Source organism: Homo sapiens, chromosome 12, assembly GCF_000001405.40.
Source record: "Homo sapiens chromosome 12, GRCh38.p14 Primary Assembly".
NCBI classification, from domain to species: Eukaryota; Metazoa; Chordata; class Mammalia; order Primates; family Hominidae; genus Homo; species Homo sapiens.
The window spans coordinates 132,728,032-132,754,662 of record NC_000012.12 but is presented as its reverse complement, the minus strand read 5'-3'; the positions used below and the strand labels follow the sequence as shown (position 1 = coordinate 132,754,662).

Sequence of the window (26,631 nt, the reverse complement as noted above, 5' to 3'; positions counted from 1 at the left end):
TGTGTAGGATTTCCTCACACAGATAGCACATACGCGGAGGGGCGGGATGACGTCTGAAAATGGAAAACTACAGATTAAGAAGGAAAAAATCCAATCCCCTCCATCTCATCACCCCAGTTAACCATTGTTAACATTTTTATGTAGAACTTTTCTGAAATATTTGTGAATTTAACATGAGAACTGTTAAAATTTGTGAGGTAAATTGGATTCTATGAGATATGCTGGACTGAGATATTAATATTAACTGGCTGCTGCTGTTGGTTAGGAACTTTGTTGATTAGTCATCTCCGCCTTTTTAAAATGCAGTGTAACCTGCACATCTTTTATGTTAATGAATGCAAATGGCCAATGAGTGTATAAATACTTTTCAGCATCAAAGATTTGTGGTTTTATTTTGTTTTTATTTATTTATTTATTTTTTGAGACAAAGTCTCACTCTGTTGCCCAGGCCAGAGTGCAGTGGCGTGATCTCAGCTCACTGCAACCTCTCCCCTCCCAGTTTAAGCGATTCTCCTGCCTCAGCCTCCTGAGTAGCTGGGATTACAGGCGCCTGCCACCGCGCCTGGCTAATTTTTTGTATTTTTAGTAGAGACGGGGTTTCACCATCTTGGCCAGGCTGGTCTTGAACTCCTGACCTCATGATCCACCTGCCTTGGCCTCCCAAAGTGCTGAGATTACAGGCTTGAGCCACCGCGCCTGGCCATTTTATTTTTTTAATTTATTCATTCATCTGAAACAGGGTGTTACTCTGCCACCTAGGCTGCATTGCAGTGGTGCAGTCACAGCTCACTGCAGCCTCAACCTTTCTGGCTCAGGTGATCCTCCCACCTCAGCCGCTTGAGTAGCTGGGACCACAGGCATACGCCACCACGCACAGCTAATTTTTATGGTTTTTTTTTGTTTTGTTTTGTTTTGTTTTTTTGAGACAGAGTCTCGCACTGTCACCTGGGCTGGAGTGCAGTGGTGCGATCTCAGCTCACTGTAACCTCAGCCTCCTGAGTAGCTGGGAACTACAGGCGCCCGCCACCATACCCAGCTAATTTTTTATTTTTTGTATTTTTAGTAGAGACAAGGTTTCGCGATTTTGGCCAAGCTGGTCTCGAACCCCTGACGTCGTGATCTGCCCACCTCGGCCTCCCAAAGTTCTGGGATTACAGGTGTGAGCCATCACGCCCAGCCAATTTTTGTATTTTTTATAGAGGCGGGGTTTCGCCACGTTGCCCACGCTTCTCTCGAACTGCCCTCAAGCGATCCACCCACCTTGGTCTCCCAAAGTGCTAAGATTACAGGCACACACCAGCACGCCTAGCTAATTGGTTGTTTTTGGTGGTTTTTTTTTTTGAGACTGGGGTCTCTCTCTCACCCAGGTTGGGGTGTAGTGATGCAATCTCAACAACTCACTGCAATGTCTGCCTACCAGGCTCAAGGAGTCCTCCCACCTCAGCCTCCGGAGTAGCTTGGGATCGCTGGGATCACGGGCACGTGCCAGTACGCGCCAGTTTTTTTGTATTCTTGGTAGAGACAATGTTTCCCCATGTTGCCCAGGCTGGTCTCCCAACTCCTGGGCTCAAGTGATCTGCCAGGCTCAGCCTCCCGAAGTGCTGGGATTACAGGCGTGAGCCACCTCGCCTGGCCACACCTAGGTAATTAAATTTTTTTTTTTTTTTTTAAGAGACTGGGTCTCGCTTTATTGCTTAGTCTGGTCTTGAACTCCTGGCTTCAAGCAGTCCTCCCACCTGAGCCTCCCAAAGTGCTGAGATTACAGGTGTGAGCCACTGTGCCCAGCCCAAGAATTGTAATTTTAAAGAAGATTTAGCATTGGAAAAAAGAAATGAGAACTCAGTATTAATTGGGATGCCAGAAATTGCACACTGTTATGAGTATTGTTATTACTGTGATACCATTTGTGGTGACGCCTATGAGTACATAATTGGTTAAACACTATGAATAGAATGGAATATTGTTCTGTAAGATCTTTTTAAAGAATACGTAGGGGCCGGGCGCGGTGGCTCACGCCTGTAATCCCAGCACTTTGGGAGGCCGAGGCAGGCAGATCACGAGGTCAGGAGATCGAGACCATCCTGGCTAACACGGTGAAGCCCCGTCTTTACTAAAAATACAGAAAATTAGCGGGGTGTGGTGGTGGGCACCTGTAGTCCCAGCTACTTAGGAGGCTGAGGTTGCAGTGAGCTGAGATTGTGCCACTGCATTCCAGCCTGAGCGACAGAGCTAGATTCCATCTCAAAAAAAAGAAAGTAACACTGGGAAATGATCATGGTGCAGTTTTTATTTTTATTATTTATTTATTTATTTACTTATTATTTGAGACAGAGTCCCGGTCTGTCGCCAGGCCGGAGTGCAGTGGTGCGATCTTGGCTCACTCCAACCTCTGCCTTTTGGGTTCCAGTGATTTTCCTGCTGCAGCCTCCCGAGTAGCTAGTACTACAGGGGTGTGCCACCACGCCCGGCTAATTTTATATTTTTAGTAGAGACAGGGTTTCTCCACGTTGGTCAGGCTGGTCTCAAACTCTCAACGTCAGGTGATCCACCTGCCTCAGCCTCCCAAAGTGCTGGGATTACAGGCGTGAGCCACCGTGCCCGAACTATGGCTATTTTTATCCAGTAGTGGACAGTAACCATTCGTCTGTTACATTGTTCATAAATTTTTGTCTCCTGGCCAGTAGTGTATATCTTATGTATTTACGATAGTCTCATACAAAACTTAATTGTGATAGTTCCACTACAGAGCTTTAATATTTTTATATAATCAGGATTATCTTGTTTTGAATGGTTTCTTGGCATGTTTAAAAAGGCATTCCCAGCCGGGTACAGTGGCTCATGCCTGTAATCCCAGCACTTTGGGAGGCTGAGGTGGGCAGGTCACCTAAGGTCAGGAGTTCAAGACTAGCCTGGCCAACATGGTGAAACCCCGTCTCTACTAAAAATACAACAATTAGCCAGGCATGGTGGCCGGTGCCTATAATCCCAGCTACACGGGAGGCTGAGACGGGAGAATCGCTTGGACCTGGGAGATGATGGTCGCAGTGAGCCAAGATCACACCACTGCACTCCAGCCTCGGCAGCTGAGTGAGACTCCATGTCAAAAAAAAACAGCCATTCCCGGCTGGGCGCCGTGGCTGACACCTGTAATCCCAGCACTCTGGGAGGCCGAGGCGGACAGATCACCTGAGGTCAGGAGTTTGAGACCAGCCTGGCCAACATGATGAAACCCCGTCTCTACTAAAAATACAAAAAATTAGGCATGGTGGCGGATGCCCATAATCCCAGCTACTCGGGAGGCTGAGGCGGGAGAATCGCTTGAACCTGGGAGGCAGAGGTTGCAAGAGCCAAGATCGTGCCACTGCACTTGAGCTTGAGCGACAGAGCGAGACTCCGTCTCCAAAAAAAAAAATAAAGTAAAAAATAAAAAGGCGTTCCCTGTTCAAAATTGTGTTTAAAATTCTCTTATGTTCTTGGCTGACATAATTATAGTTTTTTTTTTTAATTTGCCTTTTAATAATTTTTATTTAGATCTTTATATGAAATTTAGTTTTTAGGATAGAATCTTGGCATATAGAATTACATATATGAACATAATATATATCATGTTACATGCATATATGCACACTGTCGAGCTTGTTAATTGTTCTATTTTGGCTAGCTTAGGCCCTTTTTCTTCAGGATTAAAGATCTGAACTAAGCCAGGCGACTGGGTAGCAGATGTGGAAGCTGATGGTTAGGCCCAGGGCATGGCCAGGTGACAGCTCTCCAGTCACTCTTCTCTGATTTTCATTTGTTACTTTTCTTACCCAGAAAGGATCTATGTTTATGAAAATAAAAAGGAAGCATTGCAAGCTGTCAAGATGATCAAAGGGTCCCGATTTAAAGCTTTTTCTACCAGAGAAGACGCTGAGAAATTTGCTAGAGGAATTTGTGATTATTTCCCTTCTCCAAGCAAAACGTCCTTACCACTGTCTCCTGTGAAAACAGCTCCACTCTTTAGCAATGACAGGTTGAAAGGTAAATCATGCAGCCGTTCACATCTTGATGTTCCTGTCACATTGATCCCACCCTGTTTTGTGCCTTCTTTCCTCTGATGTGGTAACTTGTTTTCTCCATGAGGGTAGAGTCGATGGGGTCTCAGTGGACCAGGAGGCCATGCTGGCTCTGATGCTCGTGTAATTAGCATCTTGACTCTGGAGAAGCTGAAAAGAACGCTGTGGCCGCTTCCATCTGTCCCCGTGTCTGTTGGATTTTTTTCTTTTTTTTTTGTAAAGAGACAGGGTCTTGTTCTTTTGCCAGCCTGGAGTGCAGTCTGGTGCTATCATGGCCCACTGCAGCCTCAAACTCCTGGGCTTAAGCAATCCACCTGCTTTAGCCTCCCAAGTAGCTGAGAAATAGGCGTGCACCACCACACCCAGCTAATTTAAACTTTTTCTTTTTTTTTTTTTTTTTTTTGAGATGGAGTCTTGCTCTGTCGCCCAGGCTGGAGTGCAGTGGTGCGATCTTGGCTCACTGCAAGCTCCACCTCCCGGGTTCAAGCGATTCTCCTGCCTCAGCCTCCCGAGTAGCTGGGATTACAGGTGCACACTGCCACACCCGGCTAATGTTTGTATTTTTAGCCACCATGTTGGCCAGGCTAGAATTTAAACTTTTTTTATGGAGACAGGGTCTTGCCATGTTGCCAAGGCTGGTTGAATTGCTGGCATCAAGTGATCCTCCCATCTCAGCCTCCCAAAGTGCTGGGATGACAGGCGTGAGCCCCTGCGCCTTTTTGGATCCTGAAACCAGTCTACTTCCCCACCTGAAGCTATACCTACTTCAAGGACTAGGGCATCTGGAGAAGGCGGGCTTATCTGTAGGAGCGGTCCAGCCCGAAGTCTGACCCATGCCCACCTCCCAGCTCAGAACTAGGGTTTTGTGTGAAGAGGCTCTTCACGGTCAGTGTGGGGTAGAACCTCCGCCTTTACCTTTCATCTGGCCTCAGTTCCTGCTCCCTCTCGCAGCTCACAGTTGTCTGGGCTTCCCTGGCGGGCTGGTACTCCAGAGGAATGTTGCCCTCTCCTTCCAGTCATCCGCCTGCCCTCAGTCAGCCTTATACAGGTGCTTCCTGGATGGAAACCAGAGTGGCTTCTAACAGGTACGGATTTCCTTCTTTGCAATTTGTGAGGATTCCTCAGAAGGAAATCACCTTAAGACAGAAATCAGGCCGGGCGAGGTGGCTCACGCCTGTGATCCCAGCACTTTGGGAGGCTGAGGCGGGTGGATCATCTCAGGTCAGGAGTTTGAGACCAGCCTGGCCTACATGGTGAAACCCCGTCTCTATTAAAAATACGAAAATTAGCTGGCCGTGGTGGCAGGTGCCTGTAATCCCAGCTACTTGGGAGGCTGAGGCAGGAGAATTGCTTGAAACTGGAAGGCGGAGGTTGCAGTGAGCTGAGATCGCGCCACTGCACTCCAGCCTGGGCGAAAGAGCAAAACTGCGTCCCCCCCAAAAAAATCAGCTGGGCGTGGTGGCAGGCTCCTTAATCCTGTAATCCTTTGCAGCCACACTGTGCACATCGAAGGTCTTGCGTGATTTCTGGGAGTGTTCCCTTGCCCGCTGCTGCCGTTATTCCTCCTCCACCTACTGACCGAGCTTTCAGAGTTCACTGGCCGGGTGTGGTGACTCGTCCCTGTAATTACAACACTTTTGGGGGCTGAGGCAGAAGGATCCCTTGAAGCCAGGAGTTTGAGACCAGCCTGGGCAACATAGACCTCATCTCTAAAAATACGTGTGTATATATATATATATATATATATGTATATAAGCCAGGCGTGTTGGCATACAACTGTAGTCCCAGCTACTTGAGGGCCTGAGATCACTTGAGCCCAGGAGGTCGAGGCTGCAGTGAGCTATATTCGTGCCACCACACTCCAGCCTGGGTAACAGAGCCAGACCCTGTCTCTGAAAAAACACAAAGTTCACCAAACTTGGCCTCATTCACAGAGCCTTTCCCAGCAAGATTGTGGCAGGGTCTGGCTGCTCTTCCACTTGCTGTGCTCATGGGGGCGCGCTGGCTGCCGTTGTAGGCTGGGGCCCCCAGTGAGATTGTGGCCGGGTCTGGCTGCTCTCCCTCACTTGCTCTGCTGACGGGCACGCTGGCTGCCATTGATTGCGTTGCATGCTGGGGCCGGTGGCCGTGGGCCCTTCTCGTCTTTTCTCACCTGTGCCTCCCAGTTGGCCCAGAAGCCTCTGTGGAAAGCTGCTTATCCCTCATCAGAGGGTGCATGGGTGATGAGTGACTTTTGGTGAAACTGATTGTTCTTAAATTCTGTCTCTTACTGACAGATGGTTTGTGCTTGTCGGAATCAGAAACAGTCAACAAAGAGCGAGCGAACAGTTACAAAAATCCCCGCACGCAGGACCTCACCGCCAAGCTTCGGAAAGCTGTGGAGAAGGGAGAGGAGGACACCTTTTCTGACCTTATCTGGAGCAACCCCCGGTATCTGATAGGCTCAGGAGACAACCCCACTATCGTGCAGGTAGGTCTCGGCGGTTCCCTCGGGCAGGTGTGCGGTCCCGGCCGTTCCATCGCAGCACTCGCACAGGGCGTGTCCACACATCAGATAGGAAGCTCAGAGCATGCGGTTCTCTTTCAGGAAGGGTGCAGGTACAACGTGATGCATGTTGCTGCCAAAGAGAACCAGGCTTCCATCTGCCAGCTGACTCTGGACGTCCTGGAGAACCCTGACTTCATGAGGCTGATGTACCCTGATGACGACGAGGCCATGCTGCAGAAGCGTATCCGTTACGTGGTGGACCTGTACCTCAACACCCCCGACAAGATGGTGCGTGCACACCCTCCACTCACGCTTTCTTTATTTAATTGGTTAAAAGTCTTTCCCCAAAAGAATGCTTTATCGACAAGTTACTCATTAGTATAATAACTTTGGGGAAAAGATACATCAATTACACCCCTGCAACCTGCCTTCTTACCACATCCCACTGGACAAAGGGCACCGAGCGCTGGGGTTCCCTGGCCCCTGCATTGTCGTCGTGTGTGCGATGCTGTCCCCGAGGGTGTCTGAACTGTCTGGGGACACGGTTGTCAGAGGACATTTCCTCTGCCGAACAGGACACCTTGAGCTGAGCAGCACTTCCCCTCCCGGGAGTGGCAGAGCTGTGCACACCACAGGCAGGCCCTCAGTGTCCTACCAAGAGCCACTGAGGCACAGAGCTGCCCCTGCAAACCATGCTGCCTGACACGCAGGGCTGTGGAGAGAGAGAGAGGCTGCCTGACACGCAGGGCTGTGGAGAGAGAGAGAGGCTGCCTGACACGCAGGGCTGTGGAGAGAGAGAGAGGCTGCCTGACACGCAGGGCTGTGGAGAGAGAGAGATGCTGCCTGACACGCAGGGCTGTGGTGTGAGAGAGAGGCTGCCTGACACGCAGGGCTGTGGAGAGAGAGAGGCTGCTGGGGTGCGACTGCTTAGAAACAGGAACGATCTTGGTAGCTCCGGAGAAAAGGTGACAGCAATCCTGGCCGATGCCCATGCCCCACCCTCCACCTGACCTGTGGGGTCATTTCATCTGAAGTGCAGCCAGCAGGCGGGTTGGAGTCACTGATGAGTGCCCCCCGGGCCAGGCCCATGCAAGGCAGCACTGGGAAGCGGGCACAGCTCTTCTAAAGGGTGCTAAAGACAGGCTTTTCCTTCTCTTAGCCCCTCCCACCCCTGGGAGCCCAAAAGTCCTTCAGGGCAGAGTAGGGAGCCAGGGGAGCTGCCCTGCTTGAGAAGAGAAGCAAGTTTTATACACTGGGATGGAGCGTGTTAGTGAAACCAACACCCCAACTGGAACAGGCAGTCACACAGGCCAGGTGTAAAATCCCACACAGTACTCACAGCCATTGAGCAACCCTCATTTATATGTTTATGATAAATAAAGCATGAGGTAATGTGAGGCTTGAATTTCAGCTTGAGTCCAAAGAAATAATATTCTCTCACTAGGAGGCTAAAGCTGCTTTGCCTAATTTCGATTTTTGAAAAGTCCACTGCATTAAAAAAAAATAATGAATTTGCTTTTCATTAAAGCTAGATTAGTACAACAATTGGGCAGTTGTTGATATTCAGTTTACTTTCTGTGGGCAGGAAATGGACACTTCTTGTTTAGCATTTCAAGATAAAAACTCATGGAACAGGTAGGGCTTTCTGGGTGATTGCATTCCTTCTGTGAGTTAGGGAAGGAGGAGGTCAAAAATGCCACTTATGCGTAGGACTCTTCAATGCTTCAACATTCTGATGGGCTAACCTGATTCTTTTTTTTTTTTTTTTTTTGAGACAGAGTCTTGCTCTGTCTCCCAGGTGGGAGTGCAGTGGCACAATCTCGGCTCACTGCAAGCTCCTCCTCCTGGGTTCAACTGATTCTCCTGCCTCAGCCTCCCGAGTAGCTGGGACTACAGGCACCCGCCACCATGCCTGGCTAATTTTTTTGTATTTTTAGTAGAGATGGGGTTTCACCGTGTTAGCCAGGATGGTCTCCATCTCCTGACCTCGTGATCGGCCCGCCTTGGCCTCCCAGAGTGCTGGGATTACGGGCGTGAGCCACCGTGCCTGGCCACTAACGTGATTCTTAAAGGGAGCCTGGGCTTTGGCTCAGTATTTCAAATCCTCCGCCCTGTCCACTTCCTGTACCCCTAGGAAGGACAGCACAGTTATCTGTTTCACCTACAAACTTTAGTATATAACTATGTACACAACTGTTGAAATTCATGTGGATGCGGTAGCCACGTCTCCTTGTGGATGGGCAGGACTATTCTCAAAGCCGGCTCTGCGTGTGCGTCCTGGCTGGCCGCTTTGTTGCTCAGAGCTCCGGCTGTGATGCTGAGGGTGTGTGTGTGTGCTCTGCAGCTGAGCGTAAGCGACCACAGGCTTAGAGAGGTGCGGGATCCGACGGGCTCGTCGCCCCTCCCTGCTGAGGAAGGGAGATTGTCCTTGCTGTTCTCTGTCACCCACGACCTTAGACTTCATGGGCCCAACTTGGTCTTCAAACGACTTGAAAGTTGCAAATTTCCTTACGTCTCCGAGCTTCCTACTGATGGCAGAGCCCACCATGGACAGGGCCGCTGAGGTCTCTGTCTTGGTTGAGGTCTTCTGTCTTGCTGTGGGAGCATTTCCTGAGTCTTGCAGAGATCCGGGTGGGCCACTTTCTCATTCCACTTCCACATTTCTCAGAAGTCTTCACATAGGCGTTAGAGAGGGTTCCGTTTCAGCCTCCAAGGCAGAGAGGCCCAGCCTCCTCTCAAGCTCTCCACAGTCCCCCTCCTTGGCTGCCAGCACTGGTGTAGAGTGACAGTTTCCTCATCCGTCTTGGTAGCTGGGCCCTGAGCTCTTCCTCCTCAGCCTCTGTCAGACCCTCAACAGCAGTAGCCTGGGCAGCCCCACCTGTGTCAACAGGGACATTGGTCATGGAGTTGGACGGCAGGCCTTTGTGAGGAGAATTCGGGTTGACATCTTGGCTGGCGGCGTCTGTGTTCAGGCAGTCATGGGCCGCGGTGCGGGCGCTGTGGGAGCCGAGTGATGGGCTGTGGGAGCCGAGCAGGCAGCAGCAGGGTTGCTCACTGCACGCACGCTGCCCGGGAGCTGCCTCTGCTGGCTGTTTTAATAGGAATGGTAGCCAGTATTGTAGTTTAAGAAAGATTTGTGAGGCCGGGTGCAGTGGCTCACGCCTGTAAACCCAGCACTTTGGGAGGCCGAGGCAGGCGGATCACGAGGTCAGGAGATCGAGACCATCCTGGCTAACACGGTGAAACCCCGTCTCTACTAAAAATACAAAAAATTAGCTGGGCGTGGTGGCGGGCACCTGTAGTCCCAGCTGCTGGGGAGGCTGAGGCAGGAGAATGGCGTGAACCCGGGAGGCGGAGCTTGCAGTAAGCCCATATCACGCCACTGCACTCCAGCCTGGGCGACAGAGTGAGACTCTGTCTCAAAAAAAAAGTCTATAGTGCTTACTATCTGGTCCTTGTCCAAGAAAGCTTGCCAGCCCCTGGACAGAAGGATGGAGTACAGGTAGCGTGGTGGTATATGCAAACATCCAGACCTTTTTGGGGTCGTGTGAGAGAGTTGTAAGGGATACCTCTAGTGGGTGATGGCGGGAGGGAGCTGTAGGAGGACATTTGCGGGTGACCTAGGCTGTGTTGCCAGGGAGTGGAGGCGGGGGTGTCAGTGCAGGCCGCAGGGTCCATGATGAGTTTTTCTTCCCTGTGCAGAAGCTTAGGGATGGCTGCCATGGCATACGATGCCACCGGACACTTCACAGCCAGAATCTTGGTAATCAGAGGTGACGAGAGAAGGTGTTTCTGGCTGTGCTAGGTGTAAATGAATTCTGTTTTCTACACGGTGCAGTGGAGCTGCCTGTGGGATGTCCAAGTGAGGTGACTGGGAGGGAGTTGGCCCTTCAGGTCTTGGGCTCAGGGGCACTGTTGACCATGAGGCCCGCTGGTCTGTAGGCCACAGTTGAAGGTGACATTGAGACTGCCCAGAGCATAAGGAAGGATAGAGGTGCAGCTGTGGGAGCTCCAGGCAGATGGTGTGGAGACCTGTGACACCATCCGGGGAAGGAGGGCGTGACGCAGCGTCATGGACGGAGACCTGGGTTCCCAGCCAGGGCGCGATGCAGCATCGTCAGCAGTGAAAAAAATTTCGTTTACTGTGGTGTCACAGGCCGCAGAGACTTCTTTGAGTACAGACCAAATTCGTGCGCTTTGCTTTATTCTGGTTGTGGTCCTCATCTGTGTATTTCACTTCCTGGGCATGTTTTACATGACATTGTACTGGGCCCTGAATGGTTAAAGCTGCTGTTCACTGTTTATGGAGAATTTAAGCTCCTCCAGGGTCTGGGCACCCAGGTCAGTATGCTAAGCTCAAGCCTTGGCACGAAGTGGGTATGTGCTAGAATGCCAATTATTTTTCCATTATAAAAGCAGAGTCTTTTATGGCCTTTTTGTTTGTGAGTCTTTTTTTTTTTAAAAAAGTATAAGCCAGGCTCGGTGACTCACACCTGTAATCCCAGCACTTTGGGAGGCAAAGGCAGGTGGATCACCTGAGGTCAGGAGTTCGAGACCAGTCTCACCAATATGGTGAAACCCCATCTCTACTAAATATTAAAAAAAAAAAAAAAATAGCTGGGTGTGGTGGCGGGTGCCTGTAGTCCCAGGTACTGGGGAGCCTGAGGCAGGAGAATCGGTTAAACCCGGGAGGCAGAGGTTGCAGTGAGCCAAGATCACGCCAGTGAGACTCCGTCTCAAAATAAATAAATGAATGAATGAATGAATGAATATGTATTTTCACCTTAGAGCAACCTCATGAGACAAGTGTGAATAATTGTACTTCCTCTGCACCTTTTTTCAGGGCTATGACACACCGTTGCATTTTGCTTGTAAGTTTGGAAATGCAGATGTAGTCAACGTGCTTTCGTCACACCATTTGATTGTAAAAAACTCAAGGAATAAATATGATAAAACACCTGAAGATGTAAGTACTTATTACAATGCAGTTGCTATCTAGAGTTAGAAATGGAAATATATAAATTTACAGTCTGTGATCACAGGCACAGGGAAGCCACAAGGAGCTCTGTATGAGTTGTGTTTGCTTTATGGGCACATGTTAGAACCTTGGCTGTTGAGTAAGATGCACTTTGTGAAGAAGATGCATCTGTAGAACCAGGAGGGAAGGAACTGACGCAGTTTGCTGATTTTATTTTCCTAAAACTGGCAGTCAGTTGCTTTGAACAGCTCACAGTCTTTTATCAAGTTCCCTCTCTGAACACATCAGTTGACCAGAGTCAGAGAGAACAGAGGTGGTGATGGTGGTGGTGATGATGATGGTGATGGTGATGATGGTGGTAGTGAGGATGATGGTGGTGAGGATGGAGATAGCAATGATCATGGTGGTGTTGGCAGTGGTGGTGATGATGGTGACGATGGTGGTAAGGATGATGATGCTGAAAGCAGCTAAATTGTATTCAGCTCAGTGTGCACCAGGTGCTGTGCTAAGCTTCTCACACATACATACTCATCGGACCCAGACAAGCCTTCAGTCAGGCCTCGTCATGATCCTGAGCAGTTGAGCAAAGTGCACCTTGCAGAGGGCAGAAGTATATTCTGTGCCCACAAAGTGCAAGAAGTATCTGGACCTTCTGAGAACTGAAAGATGAGTTTGATTTTTCTGTGTATTACAGCTGTGAGCTGTCCCTTGTCTAGCAGCCCTTTAGAAATAAAAGCTATAAGGATCTTCTGGTGGCAGTGGCCTCTCCCACACCCCTTCTGTAATTGCTGTTATTACATAAGCTATACATCCACTTGCCATAGAAAACTTAAAATACTGCTTGATCAAAAAGAATAAAATTCACCAGAAAATTCTACAACTGAGAAATTGCTATTATTTTGCATACATGTGATTCTTTTTGTGTGTGTGTGTGTGTGTGTGTGTGTGTGTGTGTGTATCTGTACTTCAACATAAGAATGGCATTTGGTAACCAACTTAAAACTCCTGGCATTTTAAAAAGCATTTGACTTTTTAAAGCTCACAATCAGGTACAGACTCAAAAATGTAGTTGCATTCATAGTTTTAATTAGTTTCTCTCATAGGCTGGTTCCTTTCTTTCCTTTTATTTGAAGGTTGTTGGTTTTTCTATAGTTTCTAGCAAAAGTTCGTATTGCTGCAATTCTTCAAGGGCTGAGAAAGTTGATTTCTTTAGTGGCAAAAATAGAACTTTGATGTTCCGTGTTACTTAGGAGCTCCACCTTGACCCAGCCTCACAACAAAAAGTTTGTGTATGACCAGGCTTCCTGTAAGTGGAACTCAACCAACCAAGAAGGTTAGAAACATGTTCACGTGCTTCTGCTTTTACTCGATGCGCTGGTACCTTTTCCTCTCCTTGCAGACAGTTAGAAAATGTCGAGTAGCGCAAACAAGAAGTAAATTTACCCATAATCCCAGAGTGTGTTCTCCTAGCTGTCTCCTTAGACTTTTAGAAAGACCACACTCTTCACACGTTTTCTGAGTGTGAGCTTTATTAAATCTTTAGCATTAAGATACTATTCTACTTTACTGAGTTTAAAACTATTTTTCTGAAATCATTGTAATGATAAGGAAATGTTGCGATCAAATAAGATTTAGACACACTTTTTTTTCCAATAGGTAATTTGTGAAAGAAGCAAAAATAAATCTGTGGAACTGAAGGAGCGGATCAGAGAGTATTTAAAGGGTAAGATGGGGAGTTGGTGCCTGGATCGTGGGGTCCACGCCGGGAAGGGCCTTGGAGCGTTGGGGGACACAGCAGAGCTTTGCTTTCCTGAGCTCCCCGGGCGTGTGCCGGCTCCCCTCGGAAGCCTCTCCTCGGGATCATCCTTTCTTCTCCTGAGCTCTCCTAGCTCATTTGCCACCTTTTTTCTGTTATCCCTTCTCTGAAGTCTTGTATCTGTTCCTTGAGCTTTCTGTGAGAGAACTTTTTTGAGGTTGTGTGTCGCTGCCTGTTGCTGGTGGCCTCATCCCTGGATCCATCGGTCTCTCTCGCAGTAGCTTCATTGTGATGGCTTCTCTTCAGGTGGAGCCTGCAGTTGGCAAAGAACAGCTCAGGGAGAGGCAGGGTCCAGAGCTCCTTGGCTGGGTGGCTGGCCTGGCTTTTGTGTGTCTCTTTGCCTGTGTTGGGGTGGGGGTCGCTCCCTGTCACTCCTTCGATTCTGAAGCTGCCTCCTTCCTCCTCCTGTACTCCTGGTGCACGCCCAGGCTCCTGTCTTGGCTCCGGGACACTCCCTCCCCACTCGCCTCCGGGACGTTCCCTCCCCACTCGCCTCTGGGAGAGAGGCCTTTGCTTTCTGGGCCGCCCTCTTCTAGTCAGCAGCTTCTAGTTGTTGGCCCCTGTGCCTTGCGGTTTGTAGGTGCCAGGCATGTGAAAACGGCTGGTTTCAGGGATGGCTTTTCCCTGCCATCTTCCTCTGTTTTCAGTGAATTTTGGAAGATGACACTTCTAGAAGCGCCTCTTCTTTGCCATCTTAGCTCGAAGTCTGGAGCTTCTGCTTGCTGGTGAGATTGAAGCAGACGCTGAGGTCCTTTCACCCACCTGCCTGCTTTCCTCTCTCTCGGATTCCATTCCTATCCAAAACTCTGTCTCTATTTAAAGCAGGGTCCGCAAATGACTGCTTTTAAAAATAAAATTTTATCAGCATAAAGCTGTCACCACCATTTGCACACTGTCCGGGTTCTTTCCCAGCACACAGTGACTTGTGGCCTACTGAGCCTAATTATTTACTGTCTGACATTTTATAGAAGTTTACCAAGCGTGATCTAAGGTGTGAAGAGCCTCTGCTTGTCCCCTGATCTGTTCCCGTCCTAGGTATAATTTATTAATTACACTTCTTCAGTGTGTGTAGCTGTGCACAGGAAATGAATCCTGCATGCTGTTAGCGGCGAGAGTTCCTCCTCAGGGCCGTTGAGGCGTCGCTGCAGAGGCCCAGCCGGAACCTTCAGAGGCCCTGGGAACACACAGCTATGTTGCCAGAACATCCCTGAAGAGCCGAGAGTCTGCTCCGGATTTTCAAACCACACTGTCAGAAATGCTTTGCAACGCTGACATTAAGCATTGCTTTGTGATGGTATTTAGGAAGCAATTCTGTCTGAGAGATCCTTGCCTATGTGTGACAGTAAAACACTGTCGCCTCTAAGATCTGCCCCAGCAGCTGTTTGCTGAGGAGAAGGCAGCTCTGTGAGATCCATGTTCCTGTGGGCTGAGCTACACGGCACCTCCAGAGCTCCTACACCTCCTTCCTGGTCCTTCTGAGGCTCATGCGAAGCCCAGGCATGGTCAGCATCTGTGGTCACGCTGGGGCCTCGGTCACGTTGTAGCTTCACATGCCACAGAGCCTGCTACAGGGCTGGCTGCATCCTGCATCCCACCCTTCCCGTCACTCAGAGAGAGACCCACGCTTGTGTGAAGATGAGGAAGGACTCTAAAGTGTTATGAGAGACAAATAGGATCAGAAAGCCAGGCACAAAACTGTCCAGAGACCGTGAGTCCCATCTGTAGACAGAAATTGTTAAAAGGGACTCAAATCAATATGCCAAAAAAGTAAACATTAGTATTTTATGAGTAAAGTGTAGGTAAATTGTACCGTATACCTACCATGCACCCTATACTGTACATACTGTATGTCTTCTTTTCCTGTGCCACTGAAAGAGGGAAAAAACTGCCAATTAACCTGTAAAATGCCAACATACATAGGATGCATCCAAATATAAGATAGTAATATGTAAGACAGAGTATTTGAATTGCCCTAATTTTCAGTATGGAAAATTAGTACTCTTGAATGGAAATTCTTCAGTACCTTCAGTACTCTTGAATGGAAATTGTCGTACTTTTTCTTAACTTTCATTTTAGGTTCAGGGGTAAGTGTGCAGGTTTGTTATATAGGTAACCTGCATGTCACCGGGGTTTGGGGTACGGATTATTTCACCTGGTGATCAGTATAGTACCCAGGAGGTAGTTTTTCCATCCTCTCCCTCCTCCTCACTCCCTCCACCCTCAACCAGGCCCTGCTGACTTCTTGTTCCTTCTTTGTGTCCATGTGTGCTCAGCGTTTGGCTCCCACTCATAAGTGAGAGCCATGTTTGGTTTTCTTGCCTGTGTCAGTTCCCTTAGGGTCATGGCCTCCAGCTCCAGCCATGTTACTTCAGAGGACATGATCTTGTTCTTAATATCCTGTGGTATATATGTACCACATTTTCTTTATCCAGTTGACCGTTGATGGGCATACAGCACTTTTACAATTAGAAAAAAATTAAAAGCATAAAAACTATGATAAGCAGCCGGGTGCGGTGGCTCATGCCTGTAATCCCAGCACTGTGGGAGGCCGAGGCAGGCGGATCACAAGGTCAGGAGATCGAGACCATCCTGGCTAACACGGTGAAACCCCGTCTCTACTAAAAATACAAAAAATTAGCCAGGTGTGGTGGTGGGCACCTGTAGTCCCAGCTACTTGGGAGGCCGAGGCAGGAGAATGGTGTGAACCCGGGAGGTGGAGCTTGCAGTGAGCCGAGATCACACCACCGCACTCCAGCCTGGGTGACAGAGCGAGACTCTGTTTCCAAAAAAAAAAAAAACTATGAAACTATGATAAGCCTTTAACATAAGAAATTCCCAGGCATTCCAGAGTAGCATGATTGACTGTAAAGGAAGCCTCTTGACTCTGGGTCTCCAGGAGCTGGGTTTGAAAGCAGGACGAGGTGGTGTGTGGCCTCCGTGCAACCTACAGAACCTCACGACACTATCCTATATGGCTTGACTGCGCTGTCCCGTGGGACCTGAAGACACTACTCTTCCTTGTGCTTTTTCCATACTCACATCCAAGTGCCGTGTGATTCCAGATCTGTTGAGAGATGCGTATTCAGTGATGCAAATTGTAAAGTACAAGAGAAGCAGGACTGAGAAGCGAGGAGGCCGGGCACAGCGGCCCACACCTGTGATAAACTACAAGAGAAGCAGGATTGAGAAGCAGGATTGAGAAGCGAGGAGGCCGGGCACAGCAGCCCACACCTGTGATAAACTACAAGAGAAGCAGGACTGAGAAGCGAGGAGGCTGGGCACAGCGGCCCACACCTGTAATCCCAGAACTTTTGGAGGTGGAGGTGGAATGATCACTTGCATCCAGCAGTTCGAGACCAGCCTGGGCAACAGAGCAAGACCCCATCTCTACAAAAAGTAAAAATTAGCCGGGTGTGGTGGCGCATGCCTGTGGTCCCAGCTACTCAAGAGGCTGAGGTGGGAGGATCCCTTGAGCCTGGGAGTTCGAGGCTGCAGTGAGCCATGATTGCACCACAGCACTCCAGCCTGGGTGACAGAATGAGACTCTGTCTGAAACTAAGAGGAGAAAAAAAGGAGAGAAGGAATAAAATATTACTTTTTTTTGTTTTTTTGAGACAGATTCTCACTCTGTCGCTCAGGCTGGAGTGCAGTGGCGTGATCTCGGCTCACTGCAACCTCCACCTCCCAGGTTCAAGTGATTCTCCTGCCTCAGCCTCATGAGTAGCTGGGGTTACAGGCACCCACCACCACACCCGGCTAATTTTTGTATTTTTAGTAGAGATGGGGTTTCATCATGTTGGCCAGGCTGGTCTTGAACTTCTGACCTCAGGTGATCCACACACCTCAGCCTTCCAAAGTGGTAGGATTACAGGCGTGAGCCACCGCACCCGGCTGGAATGAAATATAACATTTTTAAAATGTATTAAGCTCCTACTGTGTGCTACTCTTATTCACTCAGGTCCGACCCCTTAGTCCTTTAACTACCTGGGGCTTCCTTTTCTTTTCTTTCTTTTCTTGTAGCAGTGGAGGAAAATGAGGCTGGTTAAGTGAAGTGAGCTCTGAGACCTTGTGTGACTTTGTTTCCATTGTATCCATTTGCATTAAGTGCAGTGAGCTCTGGCGGAAACCACCCTCTGCCCCGTCTGTTGGATCCATTTGCAGAGGCCTTGGCAAGGGCTCGCGTGATCCCCGTCCTGCTCACCCAGGCCTGACCTGCGGAGGGGGCGGAAGCCTGCAGCCAGTGCCTGTCTCCTCCCTCAGGCCACTACTACGTGCCCCTCCTGAGAGCGGAAGAGACTTCTTCTCCAGTCATCGGGGAGCTGTGGTCCCCAGACCAGACGGCTGAGGCCTCTCACGTCAGCCGCTATGGAGGCAGCCCCAGAGACCCGGTACTGACCCTGAGAGCCTTCGCAGGGCCCCTGAGTCCAGCCAAGGTGAGCTGCTGTAGAAGCTTCTGGAAGTGGTGCCTGGCTGTCCCTATACTGTGCTGCTGGGTGTTCCAGCCTGTTGCCTTGTGCGTGGTCTCAGGGACCATGTCCTGTGGAGCCCCAAGGTTGTCCTCATCTCAAACCATCCACCAGTGATTGGTGATGAGAACGTTTGTCAGAGAAATGTGTGTTCTTGGCTCTGTGGCTTGCTTACCAGGGCCGATGTGCTGGGAGCCACTGTCTCAACAAAGCAGACATTCCCTGGGCCAGCCCCGTCCTGTGCGCGTGTCGCCCTGTTCTTGCTGTGTTGATGGCCCGTCCTAGGCACCTTGCTGGTGTAGCGAGGCTGCCCGTTGTGACTAGGAAAGCTCCATCTGCACGTCCACCTCCTGACCACGTTTCCCTGTGGCTGCAGCCCCCGCTGGCTTCCTCTCAGACAAGTCCCTCTCCTGGAAGCCTCAGCCCCAGGTTCTACTCATCCCCAGTGTTCAGAGAAATCCTTAATGGTGGTGTTGCTGGGTCAAAGGTTGTACACTTTTTTATTTACAGTTGACAATTCTTTCTCCTGTTGGAATACTTCACACACTGACCTGCACGCACCATCCTGTGCTAGAAACTTTCTAAATCAGTTGCGATGAAAACGGCTCCAGGCCGGGCGCCGGGACGCATGCCTGAAATCCCAGCACTTTGGGAGGCCGAGGCGGGTGGATCACGAGGTCAGGAGATCGAGACCATCCTGGCTAACACGGTGAAACCCGTCTCTACTAAAAATACAAAAAATTAGCCGGGCGTGGTGGTGGGCGCCTATAGTCCCAGCTACTCGGGAGGCTGAGGCAGGAGAATGGCCTGAACCCCGGAGGTGGAGCTTGCAGTGAGCCGAGATCGTACCACTGCACTCCAGCCTGGGCGACAGAGCGAGACTCCGTCTCCAAAACAAAAAAGAAAATGGCCCCAAAATTAGGTGGTATCAGGTAAGGTTAGGTGAGATGCATAAAGCATAAAGCTCTAGGGAGAGTGACTGAGAAAGATCTGGTTTCTTCTCCTGCGATGGGAGCAGTGTCACATGTGCGTCGGGGTGGCAGCTCCGAGCCGTCCACTGTCCTCAGGGTGAGGCCTCGTGCTCGGGCCCTCCTGGTTCTGAACCTCACAGCCCAGACGGGGCTGCAAGAAAGGAGACCGCCTCCCCTCCCCCAGGTCAGAGTGCAGCCGTGCGGCCACTCAGCCATGCCACAGGTGGGCACGTGGCCCAGGGATCTGCTAGTGAAGGGGAGAGAAGGAAGGGTGTGCGGAGACAGGCAGCTACTGCGATGACGACGGCTCTTCAGGTTTCCGCAGCTGAGGGGCGCAGTGCCTGACACGGCTCAATACATTTTTTTTTCTTCATAGGCAGAAGATTTTCGCAAGCTCTGGAAAACTCCACCTCGAGAGAAAGCAGGCTTCCTTCACCACGTCAAGAAGTCGGACCCGGAAAGAGGCTTTGAGAGAGTGGGAAGGTACTGAAAGGCTGAGCCGCAGCAGCGTGGGGCACACAGTTGGTTGCATTTTGATTAATGACAGAAGGTCAAATCACAGCTTCAAAGTACCAATTTCCAGAAGGCTTTTCTGGGAGACTTGGTCCTTTTCGTGAAGGTCTAATTCCTTGTGGATGTTGTGGAATTCTAGCTTAAGCCAGTCCCGTCCCAGACCTGGGGGATGTCTGCAGTGCCTTCCTTTCCTTTTCTAATTGGAATTCCTTGTTGGTTCTGGGACATGTTTCTAAGGAACCTTAATATTTTATAGAAGGTACCATATAATGCTATGGATTCCTTGGGAAAAAATAGGCCATAGCCACAAAGCTAAATTATGCTGTAATCAAATAAAGCTTCGTGGAATTGTTTAGAATATTTTCTCAAAATATGTGCCCAGTGTCAGGTGTACAACTGGAACCCAGAAAGGACCTCCAGGCTTTCGTGTGCCTGGCCATGACTAGAACCACGGGCAAGTTCACAGGGCTGTTCCGTGATCATGAACACGTCCGTCTGTGGGAGTTGAACTGTGTGACCTGGGTTGCTGGCGTGAGGGTCTGTCGGGCTGAGGCCTCCTTCCTGCCTGCAGCCGGTTCACGGCTCCTGAGAGCTGTGCCGGGTCCTGCTTACCTGTGAGGAGGCGTGCTGTTTCAGAAAATGCACCGTATGATTTCAGCTGCCAGTTAAGGATAAAGGAAAATTATAACCATGATTGCAGACATTGCTTTGGTACTTGAAGCTTTAGTGGCTTTTTTCTGTGTAGTTCTGAGTATTTTTTCTGGTTTCACAGCTGGTTAATTGTGTTTTGTTTCTTACAGGGAGCTAGCTCATGAGCTGGGGTATCCCTGGGTTGAATACTGGGAATTTCTGGGCTGTTTTGTTGATCTGTCTTCCCAGGAAGGCCTGCAAAGACTAGAAGAATATCTCACACAGCAGGAAATAGGCAAAAAGGCTCAACAAGAAACAGGAGAACGGGAAGCCTCCTGCCGAGATAAAGCCACCACGTCTGGTAAGCATGTGCAGGCGTGGCTGTGGCAGCTGGGAGGGGCCCCCCATGGCCGGGGTCTGACGGGATGCGCACATCTGTTTCTCGTCTCTTGGTGTTTTTAACGTAAAGGTCTGGTACTTTCCCTTAGGTTAGTATTTTTTGAGACGGAACCTCTCTTTGTTACCCAAGCTGGAGTGCAGTGGCGCAATCTTGGCTCACTGCAACCTCCACCTCCTGGGTTCAAGCGATTCTTCTGCCTCAGCCTCCTGAGTAGCTGGGACTACAGGCGCCCGCCACCACGCCTGGCTAATTTTCGTATTTTTTTTTTTTTTAGTGGAGATGCGGTTTCACCGTATTGACCAGGCTGGTCTCGAACTCCTGACCTCGTGATCCACTAGAGTGCTGGGAAGGTTAATGTTAAATGGGTTGTGTGTCGGGGAGGGTACATGAAAAATAATGGCATCGCTTTGAGCAGTATTGCTGTTTCTGCTTGTGTTTGCATTATCCAAAATCTAATATAGTTTCATTCTGTGCCGTTTTCTCAAAACTCATAATAGCTGAACTCCATTGGCTGAGCCTGATATTTTAGATTTGGTATATTTTCAGGAAAAAGACGAGTGCACATCAGAATACTGGTGTATATCAGACACCAGGGCACGAAGCGCCTTGCACGGTGCGTATCAGACACCAGGACGCAGAGCGCTTCACACAGTGCATATCAGACACCAGGACGCAGAGCGCTTCACACAGTGTATTTCAGACACCAGGACGCAGAGAGCTTCACACGGTGCATTTCAGACACCAGGATGCAGAGTGCTTCACACGGTGCATTTCAGACACCAGGATGCAGAGCGCTTCACACGGTGCATATCAGGCACCAGCACGCAGAGAGCTTCACACGGTGCATATCAGACACCAGGACGCGCAGTGCTTCACACGGGGTATATCAGACACCAGCACGCAGAGAGCTTCACACGGTGCATATCAGACACCAGGACGCAGAGAGCTTCACACGGTGCCTGTCAGACACCAGGACGCAGAGCGCTTCACACGGTGCATATCAGACACCAGGACGCAGAGAGCTTCACACGGTGCACGTCAGACACCAGGACGCAGAGAGCTTCACACGGTGCATATCAGACACCAGGACGCGCAGTGCTTCACACGGTGCATATCAGACACCAGGACGCAGAGAGCTTCACACGGTGCATATCAGACACCAGCACGCAGAGAGCTTCACACGGTGCATATCAGACACCAGGACGCGCAGTGCTTCACACGGTGCATATCAGACACCAGGACGCAGAGAGCTTCACACGGTGCGTATCAGACACCAGCATGCAGAGCGCTTCACGGTGCATATCAGACACCAGGACGCAGAGCGCTTCACACAGTGCATATCAGACACCAGGACGCAGAGCGCTTCACACAGTGTATTTCAGACACCAGGACGCAGAGAGCTTCACACGGTGCATATCAGACACCAGGATGCAGAGCGCTTCACACGGTGCATTTCAGACACCAGGATGCAGAGCGCTTCACACGGTGCATATCAGACACCAGCACGCAGAGGGCTTCACATGGTGCACGTCAGACACCAGGACGCAGAGAGCTTCACACGGTGCATATCAGACACCAGGACGCGCAGTGCTTCACATGGTGCATATCAGACACCAGGACGCAGAGAGCTTCACACGGTGCATATCAGACACCAGGACGCAGAGAGCTTCACACGGTGCGTATCAGACACCAGCACGCAGAGCGCTTCACGGTGCGTATCAGACACCAGGACGCAGAGAGCTTCACACGGTGCGTATCAGACGCCAGGACGCGCAGTGCTTCACACGGTGCATATCAGACACCAGCATGCAGAGAGCTTCACACGGTGCGTATCAGACACCAGCACTCAGAGAGCTTCACACGGTGCATGTCAGACACCAGCACGCAGAGAGCTTCACACGGTGCATATCAGACACCAGGACGCAGAGAGCTTCACACGGTGCGTATCAGACACCAGCACGCAGAGCGCTTCACAGTGCGTATCAGACACCAGGACGCAGAGAGCTTCACACGGTGCGTATCAGACACCAGGACGCAGAGAGCTTCACACGGTGCGTATCAGACACCAGGATGCAGAGCGCTTCACACGGTGCGTATCAGACACCAGGATGCAGAGCACTTCACACGGTGCGTATCAGACACCAGGACGCAGAGCGCTTCACACGGTGCGTATCAGACACCAGGATGCAGAGCGCTTCACACGGTGTATATCAGACACCAGGACGCAGAGCGCTTCACATGGTGTATATCAGACACCAGGACGCAAACGCAAAGCGCTTCACACGGTGCACATCAGACACCAGCATGCAGAGAGCTTCACACGGTGCATATCAGACACCAGGACGCAGAGCGCTTCACACGGTGCATATGAGACACCAGGACGCAGAGCGCTTCACACGGTGTATATCAGACACCAGGACGCACACGCAAAGCACTTCACACGGTGCATATCAGACACCACGATGCAAAGTGCTTCCAAAGCACAGATGCACTGAATGGAAAGAGCATGATGGAAGAGGTTAATCTACAAAATCTAAAAGTGATTCATAAAAACATCAACGATGGCCGGGCACGGGAGCTCAGGCCTGCAATCCCAGCGGCCGGGCGTGGCGGCTCACACTATAATCCCAGCACTTAGGGAGGCCAACGTGGGTGGATTGCTGAAACCCAGGAGTTCGAAGGCAGCTTGAGCAACATAGTGAGACTCTGTCTCTATTTATTTTTTTAAAAAAACAGAAATTTGCTAATAACTAGAGATTCGAATCTGCTAAAATACAAATTAAAGCAGATATACAGTTTAAACTGTGTGTGTGTGTGTGTGAGTGTGTGTCTGTGTGAGTTTGTGTGTGTAAGGTCATAATAGAACCATTAGCCCGCAAGACACTTCATTTATAAAACAAACTCCCTGGAATGATAGAAAATGAAAATGATTGACATACATTAAACTAAGAAGCAGTGAATCTTCAACAGTCACGACCTGTGACTCTGAACCACAGAACTAGAGCGACGTCAGTGCCGTCGTTATACAGGAATCATTGAAGTCTGACCTTGCTGTGTTGTAGCTGATGGTGGCACAGAACTCACTTCTGTAAAGCGGCCTCATTTACAGTGTTGTCTTGTGACTATGTACATTTTAATTAGTAAATATTAAATAAAGTTGAGGCATTTCCTAAGTAGCAGGAGCCACAGCTCAAGTGTTCTGGATCCTCCTGTGGCCGCGGCCACCATCGTGAACACCAAACGGGACATTTCTGTTGCCTGTCGCACAGTGCTGCGCCCGGGAGCTCTTCTGTGTTATCTTCACACCTAAAGCGCAGCAGGGTTACTTCATGGAGTTGTTCTGGACGATCTTCGGGATCCTCTGGGGCACTGTGACACTCGGAGCCCCTGGGGTCGCAGCAGATCGGAGCTGGAGGGTGGCTGGGGGTGCAGGGCAGTCATCTCGCCCATCACCTGGGCTGCCCTTGGCGTTTTCATGTCCCTGCCTTTGAAAGAAAAGTCAGCCTGGCAGCTTTATTTCCCTCCTCGTCTGAAATAGGGTCTCACTCTGTGGCACAGGATGGAAAGCAATGGTGCAGTCACAGCCCACTGCAGCCTCCCCCTCCTGGGCTCAAGCGATCCTCCCACTTGAGCCTCCCAAATAGCTGAGACTACAGGTGCGTGCCACCATGTCAGCTAATTTTTCTATAGAGAACGGGGTTTCGCTATGTTGCCCAGGCAGTCTTGAACTCCTGGGGTCCAGCGACCCCCCTGCCATGGCCTCCCAGAGTGCTGGGATTGCAGGCGTGAGCTTCTGTGCCTGGCCCCAGCAGCCTGATTGTGTCTGGAGGGTCCTGTTTGCCCTTTTCCAGGGAGTCGTGTGGGTGGTTTTCCATCCTGAAATCTGATGAGGAGGTTTTGGATGCAAGAGTTGCTGTTGCTGGGGTCACGGCAGTTGGTCGCGGATGGAGTGGGGAGGTTTTGGGTATAAGAGTTGCTGTTGCTGGGGTCACGGCAGTTGGTCATGGATGGGGCGGAGCAGCTCCGTGGCTTCCTGTCGTTCCCATCACTGAAGTGCTCCTTGTTGTCCTCACAGGCAGCAATTCCATTTCCGTGAGGGCGTTTCTAGATGAAGATGACATGAGCTTGGAAGAAATAAAAAATCGGCAAAATGCAGCTCGAAATAACAGCCCGCCCACAGTCGGTGCTTTTGGACATACGAGGTGCAGCGCCTTCCCCTTGGAGCAGGAGGCAGACCTCATAGAAGCCGCCGAGCCGGGAGGTCCACACAGCAGCAGAAATGGGCTCTGCCATCCTCTGAATCACAGCAGGACCCTGGCGGGCAAGAGACCAAAGGCCCCCCGTGGGGAGGAAGCCCATCTGCCACCTGTCTCGGATTTGACTGTTGAGTTTGATAAACTGAATTTGCAAAATATAGGACGTAGCGTTTCCAAGACACCAGATGAAAGTACAAAAACTAAAGATCAGATCCTGACTTCAAGAATCAATGCAGTAGAAAGAGACTTGTTAGAGCCTTCTCCCGCAGACCAACTCGGGAATGGCCACAGGAGGACAGAAAGTGAAATGTCAGCCAGGATCGCTAAAATGTCCTTGAGTCCCAGCAGCCCCAGGCACGAGGATCAGCTCGAGGTCACCAGGGAACCGGCCAGGCGGCTCTTCCTTTTTGGGTAGGAGTGTGTTGCCCTCTGCACTCACTTTCCTTCCCCACCTTCCCTCCCCCCTCCCCCTCCCCTCACCTCCCCCTCCCCTTCCCCTCCCACCCATCCACTCCCCTCATCTCCCCCTTCCCTCACCTCCCCCTCCCCCTTCCCTCACCTCCCCCTCCCCTTGCCTCCCCTCCCCCTCCTCTCACCTTCCCCTCCCCTCCCCCTCCCCTCCCACCCTCCCATTCCCCTCATCTCCCCCTCCCCTACCCCTCCCCTCATCTCCCCCTCACCTCCCCCTCCCCTATCCCCCCACCCCATCCCCTCGACTCTCCTCTCCTCTCCTTTCTTTCAGATGGAGTCTTGCTCTGTCGCCTAGGCTGGAGTGCAGTGGTGCGATCACAGCTCACTGTAACCTCCACCTCCCAGGTTCAACCAATTCTCCTGCCTCAGCCTCCTGAGTAGCTGGGATTACAGGCGCCTGCCACCACGTCTAGCTGATTTTTGTATTTTTAGTAGAGATGGGGTTTCGCCATATTGGCCAGGCTGGTGTCGAACTCCTGACCTCGTGATCCACCTGCCTCGGCCTCCCAAAGTGTTGGGATCACAGGCGTGAGCCACCGCACCCGGCCTCCACACAAGCTTTTGTGTGGACTTGCCGTGTGCGTTCAGTTCCTGTCTCTGAGTCCAGCTTCTAGATGCTCTTTCTGGGTCTTCCTCTGGTTGGACCGTGGGTGATCCTAGTGTTGGCTGTTATTTGCTAGGGATGTGCCTGCCAGTGGTGTGAATGATCTCTTCTAAATCCTTCTAGGAAGAAAAGCCATCTTGGGGTCAATCTCAATCTAACAGGGGATAAATGTCCCTAACCTTCTGGTACTGAGCACCCTCTGGGGGTGCAAGTATGCAAAACTGCATTTTAACAGCGGGTGGATCCTGCTACCATAGAGAATGCAGGCGTGCACCCAGAGGCGACTCCTCCCTGGCCCCTGCTCTTCTCATCACAGAACAGCGAGTCTGCATCCGCCTCCCTGGCCTTGGGAGATGCCTCCCTCTGCAGAGCTAATGCCCTGACATGCTGCTGCTGGTTCCCTGGTTCCATCTGCTCAGGCCAGATCGATCCTTGCACACTGTTGTTTTGTGTGCTGGGTTCTTGAGTTTAAAATGTAGTGATATTTGTCTGGGTGTGGTGGCTCACGCCTGTAATTCCAGCACTTTGGGAGGCCGAGGTGGGTGGATCACAAGGTCAGGAGTTCAAGACCAGCCTGACCAAGATGGTGAAATCCTATCTCTAATAAAAATACAAAAAATTAGCCGGGCGTGGTGGCAGGCACCTGTAGTCCCAGCTACTCGGGAGGCTGAGGCAGAGAATTGCTTGAACCCGGGAGGCGGAGCTTGCGATGAGCCGAGATCACGCCACTGCATTCCAGCCTGGGCGACAGAGCAAGACTCCGTCTCAAAATAAAAAAAAAAGTAGTGGTATTTTAGAAGTCTTTATGTTTTTACCAAAGATGTTTTTGCTTCTTTTATTGTGCTTTCTAGAGAGGAGCCATCAAAACTCGATCAGGATGTTTTGGCCGCTCTTGAATGTGCAGACGTCGACCCCCATCAGTTCCCGGCCGTGCACAGATGGAAGAGTGCTGTCCTGTGCTACTCACCCTCGGACAGACAGAG

General features: G+C 50.6%; 1 protein-coding gene and 1 pseudogene across 8 annotated transcripts in view; one reads left to right on the top strand and one right to left on the bottom strand.

The window, feature by feature from the left end:
- The window catches only part of ANKLE2 (ankyrin repeat and LEM domain containing 2), a 36,330-nt gene that overhangs the window by 7,170 nt on the left and 2,529 nt on the right, over window positions 1-26,631 (top strand). For 2 of the 8 annotated variants that reach the window (NM_015114.3, XM_005266159.4), the window contains exons 3-12: window positions 3,814-4,020; window positions 6,332-6,525; window positions 6,643-6,831; window positions 11,387-11,509; window positions 13,178-13,244; window positions 17,598-17,770; window positions 19,151-19,257; window positions 20,088-20,278; window positions 24,393-24,984; window positions 26,500-26,631. In NM_015114.3, coding sequence (NP_055929.1) covers window positions 3,814-4,020; window positions 6,332-6,525; window positions 6,643-6,831; window positions 11,387-11,509; window positions 13,178-13,244; window positions 17,598-17,770; window positions 19,151-19,257; window positions 20,088-20,278; window positions 24,393-24,984; window positions 26,500-26,631 — 1,975 coding nt within the window. The other 6 variants (XM_011534787.4, XM_006719735.2, XM_011534788.2 and 3 more) reach the window with 6 other exon arrangements.
- LOC100419935 (TPD52 like 2 pseudogene) lies at window positions 9,237-9,642 on the bottom strand (annotated as a pseudogene).